An 18,179-nucleotide genomic window follows, 5' to 3' on the forward strand; every position below is an offset into this window, starting at 1 on the left:
GGAGCAGTAGCTCTGGAAGAGGGCTGTCACGTGGGACCTATGGCTTTTGGTAGAGGAACATAACTACTGTCAAATCACAAGACAGTGCTCTGCTTCTACCCCAAGATTTCCAGTTGCTTCTTCAGCAAGGCAGTAAGACGGCAAGGGAGCCTATTGTAGTGGTTTGTGGAGGTCAGTTCTCCCAGAGCAGAGCAGGATGGAGGAAGGCAGAAAAGGGATCTGAATCTGGGAAGTACGTGAGGAATACCTAGCACATCTTGAAGGCTTTACATTTGTGGAACGTGAGTAGTGGGGAAGGGGAAAGCTAGAATTGACAAAAACAGTACAAAATAGGGAATCATTAAGTTTGTATTCAGGAGAATCTTCACCACTTTTTCTTTGTCATTCCTTTCTTCTTTCTTTCATTGCCCGAAGTGGGCATGCTCATATTCAGTGGTGTGTTTCAGTTGGGACTCTTAAACTTCAAAACAAATTTGTCCATTTCATTGCATTATCTATGCTTTCTAAGATGAGAGCTGACATAGCAGAGAGAATAATGTAAAAGATGTATTCCAGCTTCTATGGTAATGGTTGGCATTTTTAGCAGAGGTTCCTCCCTAACAAAAGCTTTTGCTGTAAGTGGTGATTCTCCTGGGAGGGATTGTAGTTATGATGCCTGGGAAAGCGGAGATACACTCAAATGTCAGTCTGGCAGCTGAAACTCATGTAACCTGGATGCCTGGATCTTTGGAGGAAGTATCCTTCTTCTTTGTTATAGTTGTATCAGAACAAGGACGATGAAGGAATAGACCAGAATGCACTGGTTGCATCTTAATGTGAGGAATTTTTATTTCCAGGGACTAAGAGATGTATTTCCCAGAGTAATAGAATGTAAGTGGATAAAAGGAATGTGGGGATTTTGATGATCTGTTGCGGTTAGAGTTGTTGGAAGTTCGGTTTTTTATTGCATTGAAAACCTTGCTAAAAACTGTAAAGTGACAGAATATTAGCTTATTATGGGATGCCTTACATATTGGTTATGTTCAAAAGAAATAACACGTCTCATGTGCAAAAGGTTCAGGGGGAAGATAAATACTGACCTTTTCCAAGACTGATACTGGATGCTGCATTTCCATCCTTTCAGAAGATTGCCTCTGAAGATTTCTATTTTAAAAAAAAATCATAATGTCTTGCATTATTTGTGTGCTTTATGCTTTTTAGAAAATTTTTCCATGTCATCTCATCTGACTTTTACAATAACATAGTGAACAAAAAGAAACAGGTTGTTAGCCCATTTTATAGATGAAAAAAACTAATGCAAGGTCAAGTAGTTAGCTTTACCACTATTCCACCACACTGCCTACAGTAGTGAAAATTAGAATTAAATCATCTTAGATATCCTAATTTGTAACCCAGTTCATAGCCCACTCTATTGCTTTCAGGTTTTCTTTTTCCTTTTTCTTTCTTTCTTTCTTTTTTTTTTTTTTTGGAGATAGGGTCTGGCTCTGTTGCCCAGGCTGGAGCGCTGGAGTACAGTGGTATGGTCATCGCTCACTGCAACCTCGAACTCCTGGGCTCAAGTTATTCTCTCACCTCAGCCTCCCAAAGTGCTGGGACTACAGACGGGCACCATCATGTCTGGCTAATTTTTAAAATCTTTTTTGTAAAGGTGAGGTTTCACTATGTTGTCCAGGCTGGTTTCAAACTCCTGGCCTTAGGTGATTCTCCCACCTGCCCCTCTCAAAGTACTGGGATTACAGGCATGAGCCACCTTACACAGCCCAGATTTCCTTTTTTGGAAGAAAAGAGCAACATTGTATAACTGATAGTGAATTGTTTTTTAAGGAAATCTAGAGTCACCGTATAAACTGAGAGCTGTCTAGGGGAAAAATTGAAAATGTTACCAGTTATATTTTGAGAGTTGAACGTAGTCCTGGCCAAAGATAGGGAGATAGACTTTTCCAAAGCATCCTGAATTCTATAATACATGTTCTTATGTTTGTGTGTGTCTGTGTGTGTGTGTGTGTGCGCGCGCACGTGTATGTGTGGGTCCTATGAGGCATTGTGACCAGTCATTATAAAAAGCTTTTATTGATCGCCACTTTGTGCTAGAGACAGGAATGAAACTGTGCCAGGCAGATACTTAAATAGCCACCATTGATCATTTATCAAGTGTTTATTATGTGTTTTGCAATCTCCACATCAGTGATTTGAGGAAAGTACTATTATAACACCCAATGTAAGCTGGGCGATGCAGACACAGAAGGGTCCTTGTCCAATGTCACACAATATGTCTTGCAGTACCAGAGTCAGAATTCAAACTCAGAAGTGTCTGATTTCCAGCCCCAGCAGTGCCCCCTCGATTAGCAGGATTCTCCAGCTATGGTCTTCACTATGGACTAACACTCTTTCCTGTTGTCCATCCAAACTTACCTGTTCTGTGTCCCATTATCCATTTGTGGAAAAGTAGACATAAAGGAATCCTACTGAGGTATTAGATGATAATGCATACCTATTCCAGGAATGGTGGCATTAAATATGAGGTTTTAAAACCTGCCAGAGGTGGTGGTGCAAGCCTGTAATCCCAGCACTTTGGGAGGCTGAGACGGGTGGATCACTTGAGGTCAGGAGTTTGAGGCCAGCCTGGCCAACATGGTGAAACTTCGTCTCTACTAAAAATACAAAAATTAGCTGGGCATGATGGCATGCCTGTAATCCCAGCTACTCAGGAGGCTGAGGCAGGAGAATCACTTGAACCCAGGAGGCGGAGGTTGCAGTGAGCCTAGATCGCACCACTGCACTCCAGCCTGGGTGACAGAGCGAGACTGTCTTAAAAAAAAATCTTAATGCAACTTTGGGAGGCTGAGGCTGGAGGATCACTTGAGGCCAGGAGTTCAAGACCAGCAACACAGCAAGACTCCATGTCTACAAAAAATATATAAATAAATAAAAATAAAAATTAGCCAGGTGTGGTCGGGCATGCCTATAGCCCCAGCTACTTGGGAGGCTGAGGTGGGAGGATCATTTGAGCCCAGGAGTTGGAGGTTACAGGGAGGAGACATTTGTGTTCTCTCCAAAATCAAGTCATATAAGCGTCTAATGGTCTGACTCTTCCTGTACCAGACCCTGGGCATCATTATATGTACAAATGAAACTTCACTCTCATTATCATTGTTTATTTCTTGGCAGAAATGTTTCTGATACTCTATGATATGAATACGCATGGATTTCCCTCACTTCTGGGTATTATATGTAACCAATTGCATTTCGCGGTTGGCATTTCCACAAAGGTGTGAGTATCTGCTATTCCAGATTAAAATAGAAATCGTTGGCAATGGCAGATGCCATATCTCAGCATTGCTGTTCTTGAAAACGGCTTGAAAATGACACCGATCATAATGATGGCACTGTCTTTATTAGCAGCCGTCAATAAAGATAAGGCTTTAGAAGAAAAAAAGGCAACTCTATTTCAGGCACAGCCAATATATTTGGGAGTTTTAAGAGATTTTTGAGTTTTTTGTTTGGGATATTTACAAGCAAATGTTCATGTATTTTTAAGATATGCATAATATAAATAGCATTCTCAGATGCTGAGTGGCTCCAAAAGGCTCCTTTTTGTGTACTAGAAAGTGGCAAGAATAAGTTTGTTTCCTGCTTTGGCTAGACAGGAGATCCCACTTCCTTGGATTATACACAATGGCTTTTCTATAAAGCTTTTGTTTGACCCATACCTGCTTCTCTGGAATACACAGCTTGGCTTCTCAAGAAGTAAGTTTATTTCTGTGTTGTAAATTCAAGGATTTTTCTAACTTGTTCTGTAAAATGCATCTGATGACATAGTGGAGAATTCATGCATTTGATTAAAATTTAAAGATGTAAAGAATGCTTAAGGCATCATACAATGGCAAAAAACTGAAAACACTGCCCACAAGGGTAAACATATAGGCAATAACAATTTTAACATCTATCACCTATATCTGCATGAATAATAGGCTATATTGCGTTATTTGTTATTGTTCACTAATTTGAGACATATACTATTTTCCATAAAGAAGATCTGAGTGAATGGATAAAGATAGCCAAAACAAGCCTGTTTAAATTTGACCTTGACCCCATTTTCTTCGTGACCTCTAGCAATTCTCAGAGGAGCAAACTTCAAAGGGTTTCAACAGTCTGCTCTTCCCATGCATACAAGTTTCTGCTTGTAATTGATTTGGGCTGAATAGATTTTGAACACAATTGATTTGCTTGAAATAACATTAAAGGACCAAGCACTGAGCAATTCAGGTGCAACTCATGCACACTTCTGAGTCAAGTTCAAATAAATTGGATTTGACCTTAACCACTGTCCCCTCAAAAAAAGGGCTGGCAGTCATCAGAATGAATGCCATCCAATCAAGTATAAAAACTGGTATGAGTGGTTTGGATCAGAAATTGATCTCCATACACAAGACCTTCTTTTGAAAACTTGTAATGAGCTTCTGTTTTCCTGTTTTACCAGCTGTAAACTGAGGAAAGAAACATTGACTGCTGCCTCCCAGTGGCAGTTGGAGGATTAATGAGCTAATATTTATAAAGTGCTTTGAAGATAAAGGTGCCAGCTATTATTATTACTAATAAACCATTTTTTCTGCAGTGTAATTTTGGACAGCAGGCCTTAAAAACCCATTACTGTATTTAACAGTAAAACAATCTGCCACAGCCTAGTATTTACTGCCTCAATTAAGCATGCATTCCACTTCCTTTGCCCCTCCAAATTCAGAACTGGTGAGGAGAGACAGAAAGGAGTGTGTCATCATTTCCCAAGTTCATTGAAATATTAGGTTTGGGTTGTTTGATTGTCTCGGCAGAAAGCTAGACTATATCCTCAGTGGGAGACTAGTTGAGCTACACTTTTGTTTCTGTGCCTTATGAAGGGAGTGGAAGGCTTGGTTCTAGGCCTTTATTCAACCAGATTTACATTGTGGTTTATTATCTTTGAAGATTGCATTCCAGTATCCGTTTTGGTTATTTGAATATGGTACCATTAATGAAACTGGTTTATTTGGGTGGTTTTATGTGTGTACCTGCGTGAGGGTGGGGTTCACAACTAACTCCTAAAACCGAAGTGGAAAATGGAGGTAATTCTGCAGCTATCCCATGTCCAAAAGTATTAAAAAATAAAACTGGAGACCTTGAATTATACAGGATAGTTTCTTAGTTAGTAATTACTGTTATCATTATATGATATTAAATCCTTTCAATCTGATTTATTTTGATCTATATAGATGTCCTAAAATATCAGATGGTACAGGGTAGTGTAAATATTTCTCACGTATTGCCAAAACAATGCTTATTTTCCTCTGATGCTATTTCAGTACTGCAAATAAAAGTAAAAAAATATAAAGTTAATAAATGACTATAATGAGATGTCTCAGCTTTCAACAGCTACTTCAGGTATTCAAATGCTAGGCCAATATCTAAAAGTTGAACAAAAGAAGCCTCAAAGCAACCTAGATCTCTTTCTTGGCAAAAATTCACTAAAATGTAAACACTTGATTATGGAAAGATCTTCCTAATTCAGTGACTATTTGCTCTTAATTTAGAACCATTCTAATATGCATAATTATATTATTTCAGCAGATGACAAAGTATAAACTGCAAGTTGGAGCAGATGAGGGAAATTTTGCAAATTCATTCTAAGACAAAATAAGTTACATTTAATATATTTCTTCCGCAAGAGAGAGGGATAGAAAGACTAGAAAAAGACAACTCAGAAATGACTATATGGGTGATCTTGAGTCATTAAGAAATTATTTTAAAATAAAAAATAAATTGACATACCACCTATAGGAGTTCAGATCATTTATCTGAAAATCTTATGGAACCAATCCTTCCTAGTGGTCTAGTTGTTCAATAATGTTAAATACAAATTCTTAACAGAACCCTAATCTTTTTTTTGTCATTATTATACTTCAAGTTTTAGGGTACATGTGCACAACGTGCAGGTTTGTTACATATGTATACATGTGCCATGTTGGTGTGCTGCACCCATTAACTCGTCGTTTACATTAAGTACATCTCCTAATGTTAGCTCCCCTCCGCTGCCACCCCACGACAGGCCCCGTGTGTGATGTTCCCCACCCTGTGTCCAAGTGTTCTCATTGAACAGAACCCAAATCTTTTAAACGGTTTCTTTTACAAGCAATGCACTAATAATGATCCAAGGTAGGTGCCGTTGTTTACAGATAGGATTTTGTATTGCCCATTCCAAGTTTGCCACAGAGTATACTTTTTATTACTATCACTTAGGGAGACTGTTTGGTAAATACCATCACCATTCCATTGACTTTTGAAGTTGAGCTCATGCTATTTTCATCATTTGTTTTGTTTAATTGTGTATGGGGAATTCACCATATGGCTTAAAACTGTTTAAGACCTCAATAGATATGTGTTTTGCATATGAGATTCTTGGGGTATCTGTAGGGATATACACAAGCTGTTTGTTATTAGGAAGAAAAGTACCTGAAAGCTTGTGTGTAGCTAAGGGGAGAAATGATGAAAAATATTCTGAATGTAGCAAAGTAACAATTTGTGTAAAATGTGAAGGCACATTTTTCCACTTACCTATCACTGAATGACAAACTAACTCATACCTTTAAACAGTAACTTCAAACAACAGACATTTTATGAAATCTCATGAATTGTAGGTGAGGAATTTAGGCAGGGCTCCGCTGGGTGATTTCTTCTGCCCCATTTGGTGACAACTGAGGTAATATGGTGGTATCTCAGAGAGTGGCTGGGGTGGGCTGGTGGCCCCAGGATGGCTTCCCTCACATGACCCATGCAATGGCAAGGAGGGCTGAGCTCAGCTGGGCCCCTCTTTCTGTCCAAGTAGTCACAGGGCCTCTCTCCTGGTCCTTCCAGAAATGTCACTGGACTTTTCACACAGTGACTCAGGGCTTTAAAAATCTAACTTGGAAACTTAAAGGCTAGTCCTCAGACCGTTCAGATTCAAAGGAAACTCTCATCCAACTTCTAGCAGACAAGGTAGCAAGAAATACAAATTAAGAAAGACATGCTAATTAACAGAATTATTAAACCCATTGTGATACACCATTCACTCACCATGTGACTGCTTACAAAGAGGGAAAAAATATGGAGCCCTCTGTTCCAAGGGAACACTCCTTTCCCCCTCCCGACACTTCCTAGAGATCTTAGACCCACATGACTGTGAGAAAGAAGAGTGATGTGAGAGTGAACTTTGGCAAGGCTGAAGTGCCCTGGTTTTGTCTGGAGCGAGAATAAAAGTGAGAGGAAGGAGGCGTCCAGTTGGCTGAGAATACTGTTGGCTAAGATTCTTTAGCAGGGTGGGCTTTTCGGATGCTTTTCTCCTCTGATCTATTTAGGTTTATCCTTACTCTTTTCCATTTATCTGGGAAGTGACTTGGGTTTAAGAGAACCAGGAGTATCTTAGCAGAGTCAAAAGGGCCACGGTGAACCCCAAATGTCAGGAAACAAGGAACTGACTAGATTACTCAAGGCTTCACTCTTGAGGAGGGAGAGAAAAGAGCTCCTGCATTTCCTTCTATTTATTGATTACAGCCACAAATGGAAAAGGAAGCAGGCTTTCTGCCCTGAAATAATGATGATACATCGGGCTGCAGAGCTCCTATACCTATAACTCTCAAAAGCAAATGGAAAGGAGACTAGCGTGTGGCTAGTACCATTATTCTCACATCTTCCTGCAGTGTTATGAGAGCACAGAGTAGGATGCAGGGTGAGGATAGACAGCAGTAGAGCTTTCTTGAGCTGCTTATTCCTCTCCAAATTCTCTCTGAAAGTGGATGAAGAACTGCTGCCATGTCTGGTGTGGGTTCAATTTGTGCTCTCATTGCTTCTACTTCTCTGTTTCTCCAGATCCTACCATCACGTTCTTCCTTCTGTGGCTTAGCCATTTTTCTCTCCACGCTTAGGAACCATACATACTATCATTCTTCTACCTCTGAAGCATTATCCCATCCTTCTGACAAACATGAGTAGATGTTTTCCCCTCACAGTCTTGCCAAAAAGCACTTATAAAGTATTGCACCGTAGTTTTCATATTTCAAAAACACTTCAACAGGCAAAATGCGATATACACAACCCCAAAATGCTGTGCTATGATGAATTTAGTTCTGTATTGGTAATACTATAAATTGCTTTTGAATGAAAGATACAATGTCTATATATTATTTAATTTGATACTTGCAGTAACTAGCTATTTAAGCAAGATAGGTATCAGTCCTCTTTAGCGAAGTTCAGTGGAACCAATGGAACAAACGTGTGGGAGTGGAACTGGAACTCGGATGTCTGATTTTGTCTTAAGTTATTTTAATGACAAGTCATTTAGCCACCGATAAAAAGTTACTTATTCAGAAAATTCAATCTTCTGGACAAGTTTTATTTTTACATGACATAACCTAAAATGTTATATATGTTAAATTCTGCCGTTTTAGATTTCAGGAAAACAAATGCAGAGTGGTAGAGGCTGGTGGTGAGAATGAGCTGAGAAGGGTGGTAATAAACTGAGGTTTCTACAACGAGTTTGCATTAAAAAAAACTTGTTGGGGGTTCTGGAACCCAATCAATTCTCAGATGTTTCCATAGTCTATTTTTATATAGCATAATACATTTTTATTATGATCAGGCAATAAAGCAAGACTGTTCACCAGTCTTGCTTTAGCCATTTACCATTTCCTATACTCTATGTATGTCCTTTGTCTGCTTTTACACTACCATAAAGCCTGCTTCAACTTTCCCCTCAATACACTGAGATTTATTTCTTCACTCACCATTCTGGAAAATTCCTTGTTCAGCCTTCTAATCACTAGACACCTGCAACCTTTCCTTCACTGGATTTCTGCCTCGAACAGTCACTCTTCTCCACTAAGATCTACATGTCACCGCTAAAATCCCCTTTCTTGCTTGTCACTTTGACCATGATGTCACTTACTTCCTGAAAATTTCCCCTGGCTCCCTACTGCTTTGCAGGCCAAGTAACTGTCACATTTCGTTTCCACTTTCAGCTGGAGTCAGCCTTCATTATTCCCCTCTCCGTCCCTGTATCCTTAGAGACCCTCTCCTTTGACTCAACAGCTCACTGCTCTTGTCTTCTCAAAGCTCCTGTCTTTTCACACACAGTTCCTGCTGTCTTTTCTTCTTAAAACAACCAGCCATTCGACAGTCTCCAATTCTCTGAGAAGACATTCCCCTAAACTCACCATCTTCAATACTTGTGTCATATCTTTGTGCCAAATTCTAATTCACTTAAGATTTTAACTGGCTTACTAACAAAATATACTAACTTAAAATGAAGGTTTTATTTATTACCTTAAATGAAACACCAGTGTCAACGGCAAACAATGAAAAGTAAGAGCAAACGTTACTATGATGAAAGCAACTTGAAGTCATTGCATTTTAGGTAGATATTTGTGCCTGCCCCAGACTCTGGGCTTGAACCCTGCTCTGTCTTATAAAATAGGGAGATTAGAAAAGTTAAATTGTTATTAATGTTCTATTAACACCTACTTGAGACTTTCAACTTTTTATAGTAAGAAGAATTGAAAAATAATTCACAGAGAATTGATTCCCATGATGCGTTCACCTATGTCCTGCTCAGAACACATCTAGGATCATTTCAGCGCTGATAGACTGTTCAAGGAGATGCAGCCTAACTCAAGAAAAATTCATCATGCTCCTCCTCTTTCCTTCTCCAGTTTTGTTCCCACATATGAACATTAAATGAAAATTTATGAAGTTCCTGCTGAGTGAAAATCACTGCTGGATAGGTGAATTCCAAGATGAAATAGATAGACTTTCTGGCCTGAAGTTGCTTACTGTTACCACTGAATATATGCCCATAAAATATTAAAATAGACCTAAATGCCTTTTCTGAGGTCTGGAACTCTCAAAGTGTTGTGAGCCTCCAATCTAATTAAAGAACTCACTCAAGTATAATGCAAAATAGAGGATGAAAAATGCCATACGAATGTATAGATAATGTTTTATGGGAGATTAGAATAGAGAAAGATTATTTCCAGCTTGTGCACTGTTAAAAGTCATTAGGAAAGAGGTAGAATTTGGAAAGCAAAGAAGAGATTGCATTGCAAAGAAGACATTCAATTGCAATGATTATTTCTCTGAAGCAAAATAAGTGTTCAAGCCCAATTTAATGAGCAATTAATTTTTAGCAATATTTTCCACATGTTCATAATCTAGTACCATTTGAAAAAACTTTCTGATGTGAAAAAAATGTGATTTAAATACCTGTCTCAAGTTCTGAAAGGCTTCCTCACATATTATAAAACAGGAGCCCTCCCTAATTTGAGTCAGGTTAGAGAAAGCCAAACATAGGTGGAATATGGATACCTTTACTACAACTACATTTGGGGAGTCAACCTAATGCTTGCTTAATCGCTTCACAGAAAGATTGAGGAAGGCAGTGATATCCAGTATCATCATAGGGCTCTTTGGTGCCAATAATCTATTGAGGTGCTTTTCGATTGTGAGACGACCAAGAAATTAGCTGATCCCAGCAGAAAAACAGAGCTCCTTCCTTACTTTTCAGCTGCGTTAATTTCTTCTCTACGTTTCAGAGTACTGCTAATTCCATCCACTGATCCCTTCTAGGGCCTGGTTTTCAGTCCTAGGCACTCAGGTAAGGCTATTCTCTAGACACAATATGCATGTGAAACAAAAAAAGAGAAAAGTAATAATGACTTCAAATATTAGGATCTGACTATGAAATATCAGATCTTTTAACTCTTGTATTCATGTAACCTTCCTACATTTTTCAAGTGAAAATATTTCCTACATTTTTTAAGAGACATCAGTGTTACGTGCTACGTTATCAATATTATTTTCTTATTGGCCATGGAAATGCTTAAATAATTGACTTGACTTGTTAAATCTATTTTATACATTGCATTTTAATTACATTTATAATTTTAAGAAACTTCACTTTTTAGAAAGATATAGACATGAATACCCTTGGTATTAATTAGTAGTAGATGTCCTTACTTCTGATAGCCCTTACATAATGTATCCCTCTCTATGAGTGCTGTAGATTTTTCACTTATATCTACAAATACAGAAGATATAACTTATTAAAAGTTCAATAGGAATAAGTCCTCATGTTATGAGAGAGTATAAAGCAATAGTTAGAGTGATGTGAAATATTATAACTCTGTCTTCTGGAATTATTCCTTGAAAAGATTAATTATGTATGCCTAATGAGATAACAGTGACAAGGTATAATTTAGAGATTATAAAGCTGAGAATTGAAATGCCTAGCATGTGCACGTGCACACACACACACACACACACACACACGTAACTGCTCTTTTGCAAATCTTCATCACATCAATTGTGTTGAATCCATTCTCTTAGGCTATACATTCTCATGCTAGCAAAATGAAAACTTGAAAGTAATATGTTGAAGAGATACTATGTTGAAGAGATTCCCATGTTGATTGCAGCATTATTTACAATAGCCAAGATATAGAATCAACCTAAGTGTCCATCAACAGATGAATAAAGAAAATGTGGTGTATATATACACAATTGAATAGTACTCAGCCATAATAAGAATGAAATCCTGTCATTGTGGTAACATGGATGAATCTAGAGGACAATATGCTAAGTGAAATAAGCAAGGCACAGAAAGACTAATATCCCACGTTCTCACTCATTTGTGGAGTCTGAAAAAGCTGATGTCACAAAAGTACAGAGTTATTAGTGACTCCGGAATGTATCAAGGAGGGGAGGATAGGAAGAGATTGGTCAATGACATAAAATTACAATTAGACAGGAGAAATAAGTTCTGGTGTTCTATAGCATAGTTGGGTGACTATAGTAAACAGTATTATAGTTTGTATTTCCAAATAACTAGAAGAGAGGATCCTGAGTTCTCACCACAAAGAAATAATGTTTCAGGAGACGGATATGCGAAAGCCAATGTACACATGTATCCAATCATTATGATGTACTCCATAGATGTGTGTACTTATTGTGTATCAATTAAAAACACAATTCAAAAATTGTCATGGGTTTGCTCTTTTTTTTTGCATTACAAAGTGACATCTATTTCTTGACTACATGCTAGGTGATTAATTATAAAATGGCTCTGTGCATTGAAGCATCTCTTTCAAGAGCTTTACAACCTGACTTTTGGGAAAGATACATTGTATCTTTTGAATGATTCAATAGTGAAATTTATTTCTGAGTTTACCATTTTGTGATTTCTGAATTTTTTCACTTTCAGCATTTCCACTAGTGTTTTATTTACTGGTTCCACAAATCAGTCAGTTTCATCAAATTTGCCAACTGCAAGCCTAAACCATTGGAAATTGGCATAATGAATGTTCTGAGTGAGAATATATATGTTATTAGGAATATTTTAAATATAAGAAAATGTGATACAAACCTGGCTGCCAAAATATGGCAAAAATGTAAACAAAAATTGATGTGTAAAAAATACCACTGTATTTAAAAGGGATAAAACTAATCAGATAGTATTTTAAAGCTGATGTCTTGATGGCACAATTTTAAATTGAAGTGCTATGGGGGATATTGTCTTACTGGTATTTGCAGTTTGGGCTCAAAAAACCAGAAACTATATCTTTAAGGGTGTTTAACAGAATAATTCTAAATATTATAGTTTTCTCTTTCCTTTTTGTTGTCCTGTGATTTTAACTTTGACATTCTTATGTGACAATTGAAAAAGTCTCTTCACTTTTGTGTATTCTTTCTAATGTGATCAGGAGAATTAAAATGAACATTTTCTTTCATAAAGCTGAGAGTTAATTCTGAAACGTTGTACCAGAATACTTTTATGAATGAAAGACTAGCCTTTGAACCCTAGGAGAGTCAACTCTACACCAACCCTGTCTATTAAAAAAAGTCTGTGCTTACAGATGTCTTGTGTGAGATGTGGCTTTACCAAAAGTATCTGAACTTCAAATTTCTCCTATCACTGCCAACTACCCATGGGTATTGGCAATATATTTGGTAGACTTATTTCTTCTGTAGGCATATGATGCCATGGCCAAAGTGAACTCTACATTTTTAAGAGAGGCTGCTAAATATGGCCAATCACAACAGAAAACTAGCATTTCTCCAATTTGGCAGTGGTTTCTGGATGGCACACCCAGACTTACTTCCTTAAGCAATGCTGATATATGGAAATGCCATGATAGAGGCTCAGAAGCTAACACTGAATTCAGCAGTGCAGAAAAACTCCAAATCATGTGGTTCTTCTTTGTCAATATTTTCACTAAGGCAGCATAAGATATTAAATCACCTGGAATTAGTTATGTGCCATTTCAGCAACCTTTTGTGCTCAGTCTGCTACAAGCTGCTTGTGCTGATTAGCAGTTTAAAAGTCTGCAGGGGAAGGAAATTTTCAGTAGCTTGATTTTCCCCCACCCTTTGGTCCTGTGTGCATTGGGGAAGAAATTACCTTCTGTGCAATTCCTGAATAATTTGGTTTGATTATTAATAGATTCATGCTGAAAAAAGAACAATAACAGAAAAAAAATTACCCATGGGGTTGCAGCTGTGCTCCCAGATACAAAACAGGGAAAGAAAACAGGTCTCTCCAAGCAAAGGGTATATGTGTATACGTGTGTGTGCATGTGTAGCTCTGATTCTAAGAAGCCATTGGTTCATTTATTCATGCATCAAATATTTATTGAGCTGCGAACAAATCCCAGGCACTGTGAGGAAGACAGATTTCCTGCCCTCCCAGAGTTGCCATTACTAAGAATGTTAGCCAATAAATAAATCTTTACGGGAAAGAAACAAAGGACTGTGATAGAAAAAAATGGGAGGAGAAACTTACTTTAGAAAGGATTATCTGAGAAGGTGCCTTTCACGCTGAGCCAGAAAGGGAAGAAGGCAAACAGGAAAAGAGCCAGAAGAGCAGAGTTCCCAGCAGAGGGGAAGCAAGTGGAGAGGCGGTGTGGAGGAATCAATTTGGCCCCATCTGGAATGGACAGAAGGCTAGAACCTGCAGTGCAGTGAGTGTGGGAGAAACCAGCTGGCACAAGGTGAGCTTAGGGCAGATCACATAAGGCCTTGTAGGTCATGGACAACAATATGGATTTAAGTGCAGTATAGGAACTTCAAAGGAATTCCAACAGTTAAGCTAGTTGATGTAATTTGTGTCTATATGTATATATATTTATATATACAAACAAAACAAACCTTGGCTGTTGCATGCAGAGTAGATTGCAATGGAGAGGAGGACCAGTTGGTATTCCGCAAGGGAGATAAGAACAGCTTAGGCTTGAATGAGGATGTGATAAAGGGGATTTTATGAGCAAGGCTGTTTTATTATTTTATTTATTGTACTTCTATTAAGATGATATGGGTGCTTTGGGGGCTGTTGTAAATTATAACCCACAGCCCCTGCACAGGAAACCTCCACAGGAAACAATCAAAGAATAAGTGGTTGTGAGATGACAAGGTTTACGATACGTGTTTTCAGGCTTCTTAATAGCAGAGTGATTGGGTGATTTCCAAAAGACCTCAGGGCTGGGATGGGTGAAATTTTGTGAGCTTCTGGATTGGATGAGGGTGTGCTCTTGCAGAAAGAATTCCTGAATACTTTCTGCACTGACAGAACCTGCTTATTAATTCTTACAGCAGTTATGTTTTAGAAGATGAAAGACCCTTTCCATTCAATTATTGATCATAAGCATGATGTGTGTTGATTAAAATGGCATGATAATGGTATCAAATGGAGTTTGGATATCTTTTTCCTTAATATACTTTTGTGTATCATATTTAAGTTTCCTCAAGTCAGTAGAGAAGATGTTACCCACATCCTCTTTTCCAAAGAAGGAATCATTTGATCATTGAAAGGTTTACTGAATAGAAAATAAATTATGTTGACTTTAGCACAAATTCCTGCCCTAAGTTTTAGCCCATATATTGATGATGTCAAGTGCTGCTAAATGTGTTCTTCTTCTATAAAAATTAAAGTTTAAGCTTTGGATGCTAACTTTCAAATCTATGTGAAATGATATGATTTATTGTGATATAAAGAATGACATAAAGAACAAAATAATACTTTTTTAAATTTATGAGGAAAAAGACAACAGAAAGGAAAAATGGGCAAAGAAAGAGAACACGTTTCATGCAAATCAAAACCACAATGAGATACCATTTCGCACCGGTCAGAATGGTTATAATTGAAAAGTCAAAAAGTAGGCCGGGCGCACTGGCTCACACCTGTAATCCCAGCACTTTGGGAGGCCAAGACGGGCGGATCACGAGGTCAGGAGATCGAGACCGTCCTGGCTAACACGGTGAAACCCCGTCAGTAAATAAAAAATACAAAAAAATTAGCTGGGCATGGTGGCGGGCACCTGTAGTCCCAGCTACTCCAGAGGCTGAGGCAGGAGAATGGCATGAACCCGGGAGGTGGAGCTTGCAGTGAGCCGAGATCATGCCACTGCACTCCAGCCTGGGCGACAGAGTGAGACTCTGTCAAAAAAAAAAAGGTCAAAAAATAAAAGATGCAGGTGAGGTTGTGTGGAGAAAAAGGAAGAGAAAGTACACTGTTAGCGGGGGTGTAAATTAGGTCAACCGTTGTAGAAGACAGTGTGGTGACTCCTCAAAGACCTGAAGACAGAAATACCATTCAATCCTGCAATCCCATTACTATATATATTCCCAAAGGAATATAAATTTTTACATTATGTTAAAAAGACACATTCATATGTATGTTCATTGCAGCACTATTCACAATAGCAAAGACATAAAATCAACCTAAATGCCCATCAATGACATCAATAACAGACTGGATAAAGGAAATGTAGTACATATGCACCATGGACTATTATGCAGCCATTAAAAAAGAATGAGATCATGTCCTTTGCATGGACATGGATGGAGCTGGAGGCTATTATCCTTAGCAAACTAATGCAGGACCTAATGCAGGAAAACCAAATACTGCATGTTCTCACTTATAAGTGGAAGCTAAGTGATGAGAAAACATGAACACTTAGAGGAGAACAACACACACTGGGGCCTACTTGAAGGTGGAGGGTGGGAGGAGGGAGAGGATCAGAAAAATTAACTAATGGGAACTAGGCTTAATGAAATAGTCTGTACAACAAACCCACATGACACAGGTTTACCTGTGTAACAAACTGGCACATGTACCCCTGAACTTAAAATGAAAGTTTTTTAAAAAAGAGAACACATTTCAGAAAAAAACTCAAATGGCCAAAATACATACTAAGATAGACAACCTCATGAATAGTCAGGGGAATGCACATTGAAATCACAGTGAAACAATTGTTCATCTACATCATTGAATAATACTTAGTATCTAAAAGGGATGGACTACTGATATATGCAACAAAATAAATGACTCTTAAAAGCATTATGCTAGGTGAAAGAAAGTTACATACTGTGGGATTTCATTTATACGATATTTTGGAAAAGGTGAAATTGAAGGGATAGCAATAGAATCATTGTTTTTAAAGACTGGGGAGGGTGGTTGACGACTGACATGATGGGAATACTGTGTGCTGATTGTGGTGGTATTAATACCCCATCTACCTTTGTCAATATTCATTGAATTGTACCTTTACAAATTTGGTTATTGTGATGTATGTAAATTAAACCTTCAATGATCTGATTTTAAACATTACAGTGAAGTCAGGAGTGGTGGTATGCACCTGTAGTTCCAGCTACTCAGGAGGCTGAGGTGGAAGGATCTCTTGAGCCTGGAAATTCGAGGCTGTAGCATGGGTGTCCAACCTTTTGACTACCCTGGGCCACATTGGAAGAAGAAGAATTGTCTTGAGCCACACATAAAATACACTAACACTAACGATAGCTGATGAGTTGTTTTTTTTTTAAAAAAAGGTCCATGCATAATTTTTGTGATATCTGTCATGCCACCACAGATATCAAAGAAGTCCTCACATTCAAAGGATTTTACACCTATGCATGTAGAATGCTATAATTGCACCTGTGAGTAGCCACTGCACTCCAGCTTGGGCAACATAGTGAGATCCCATCACAAAAAAGACTCACAATGAGAAAATGTTATCATTTATTAGACTACAACAATGAAAATATGTAGTACAGAATCTTGTGAAGGTGTTAGGAAATGAGAACGCTCATGCTCTGTTGGTGTGAGTGGACAGTGGCATAACCTCCTTTTAGAGGAGGAATTTCACATCAGCTAGTAAAGTTGAACATGTTTTAACCCACACCTTCGAAAGTCTGATAAACATTTACAATCAATTGTCTCTGAAGCCTACTACCTGGAGGCCTCATCTGGATAGAACCTTGGTCTCCACAACCATCCTTATCTTAACCAAGACACTCCCTTCTATCGATTCCAGGTCTTTAGATAAACTCCTTGGACTAGTTGCCAATTAGAAAATCTTTGAATCCACCTATGACCTGAAATCCCACACTCACCCACTTTGAGTTGTCTCACCTTTCCAGAATGAACCAATGTACATGTTTCATGCATTTATTGATGTCTTATTTCTCCTTAAAATGGATAAAACCAAGCTGTAGCCCGACCACCTTGGGCACGTGTTCTCAGGATCTCCTGAAGCTGTGTCATGGGCCATGGTCACTCGTGTGGCTCGGAATAAATCTCATCAAATATTTTACAGAATTTGACTCTTTTCATTGACACTAATCATCATTGTAAAATTAAGACTATAGTAATCAGTGCATTTTGAGCCCTCAGTTGTTCAAGTACTATCACAGAAGATCGATATCAACTTTTGTTTCAGCTCCAGATTAAAAGGTGAGCCTATTAGAGTGTTTATGTGTAGCAGACCCTACACTTATTCAAAGAATCATTTGCTTAGATCTAAGAGAAATCTCATCCCTTTTACTTTTAATATCATGGTCCTTGTGAAAGACCAGACAAAAAGTCAACCCAGTTAGTTCCTTAAAAGAGGAAAAGTAGAGGGAATTCGCATGAGCAACACCTCAGTACTTAACAGTCATTCAAGGACTTATGCATCAACAGTACTTGGCATTTCATGTAATCCTTCCAATGTTCTTATCAGTTCTGTGTGTTCTTACCATTGAAATATAGATGTGCACACCATTGAAAAGTTTAAATCATTAATTTAGTATTAAGTTAACAAGAACATAGATGCTACACCTAAACTTATCCAAGATATTAATCCATT

The 18,179-nt window shown here is 38.1% G+C and overlaps 1 protein-coding gene across 18 annotated transcripts in view; it reads left to right on the forward strand.

Moving 5' to 3' along the window:
* The window catches only part of CHL1 (cell adhesion molecule L1 like), a 212,655-nt gene that overhangs the window by 6,890 nt on the left and 187,586 nt on the right, over window positions 1-18,179 (forward strand). The window contains exon 2 of one of the 18 annotated variants that reach the window (XM_017005566.2): window positions 9,552-14,048. The exons of the other annotated variants lie outside the window; for them this stretch is intronic. The gene's annotated coding sequence lies outside the window, so the exon portion shown is untranslated. The remainder of the gene's footprint in view (window positions 1-9,551; window positions 14,049-18,179) is intronic. 18 annotated transcript variants of the gene reach the window in all.

Source organism: Homo sapiens, chromosome 3 (genome assembly GCF_000001405.40).
Source record: "Homo sapiens chromosome 3, GRCh38.p14 Primary Assembly".
Classification (NCBI taxonomy): Eukaryota; Metazoa; Chordata; class Mammalia; order Primates; family Hominidae; genus Homo; species Homo sapiens.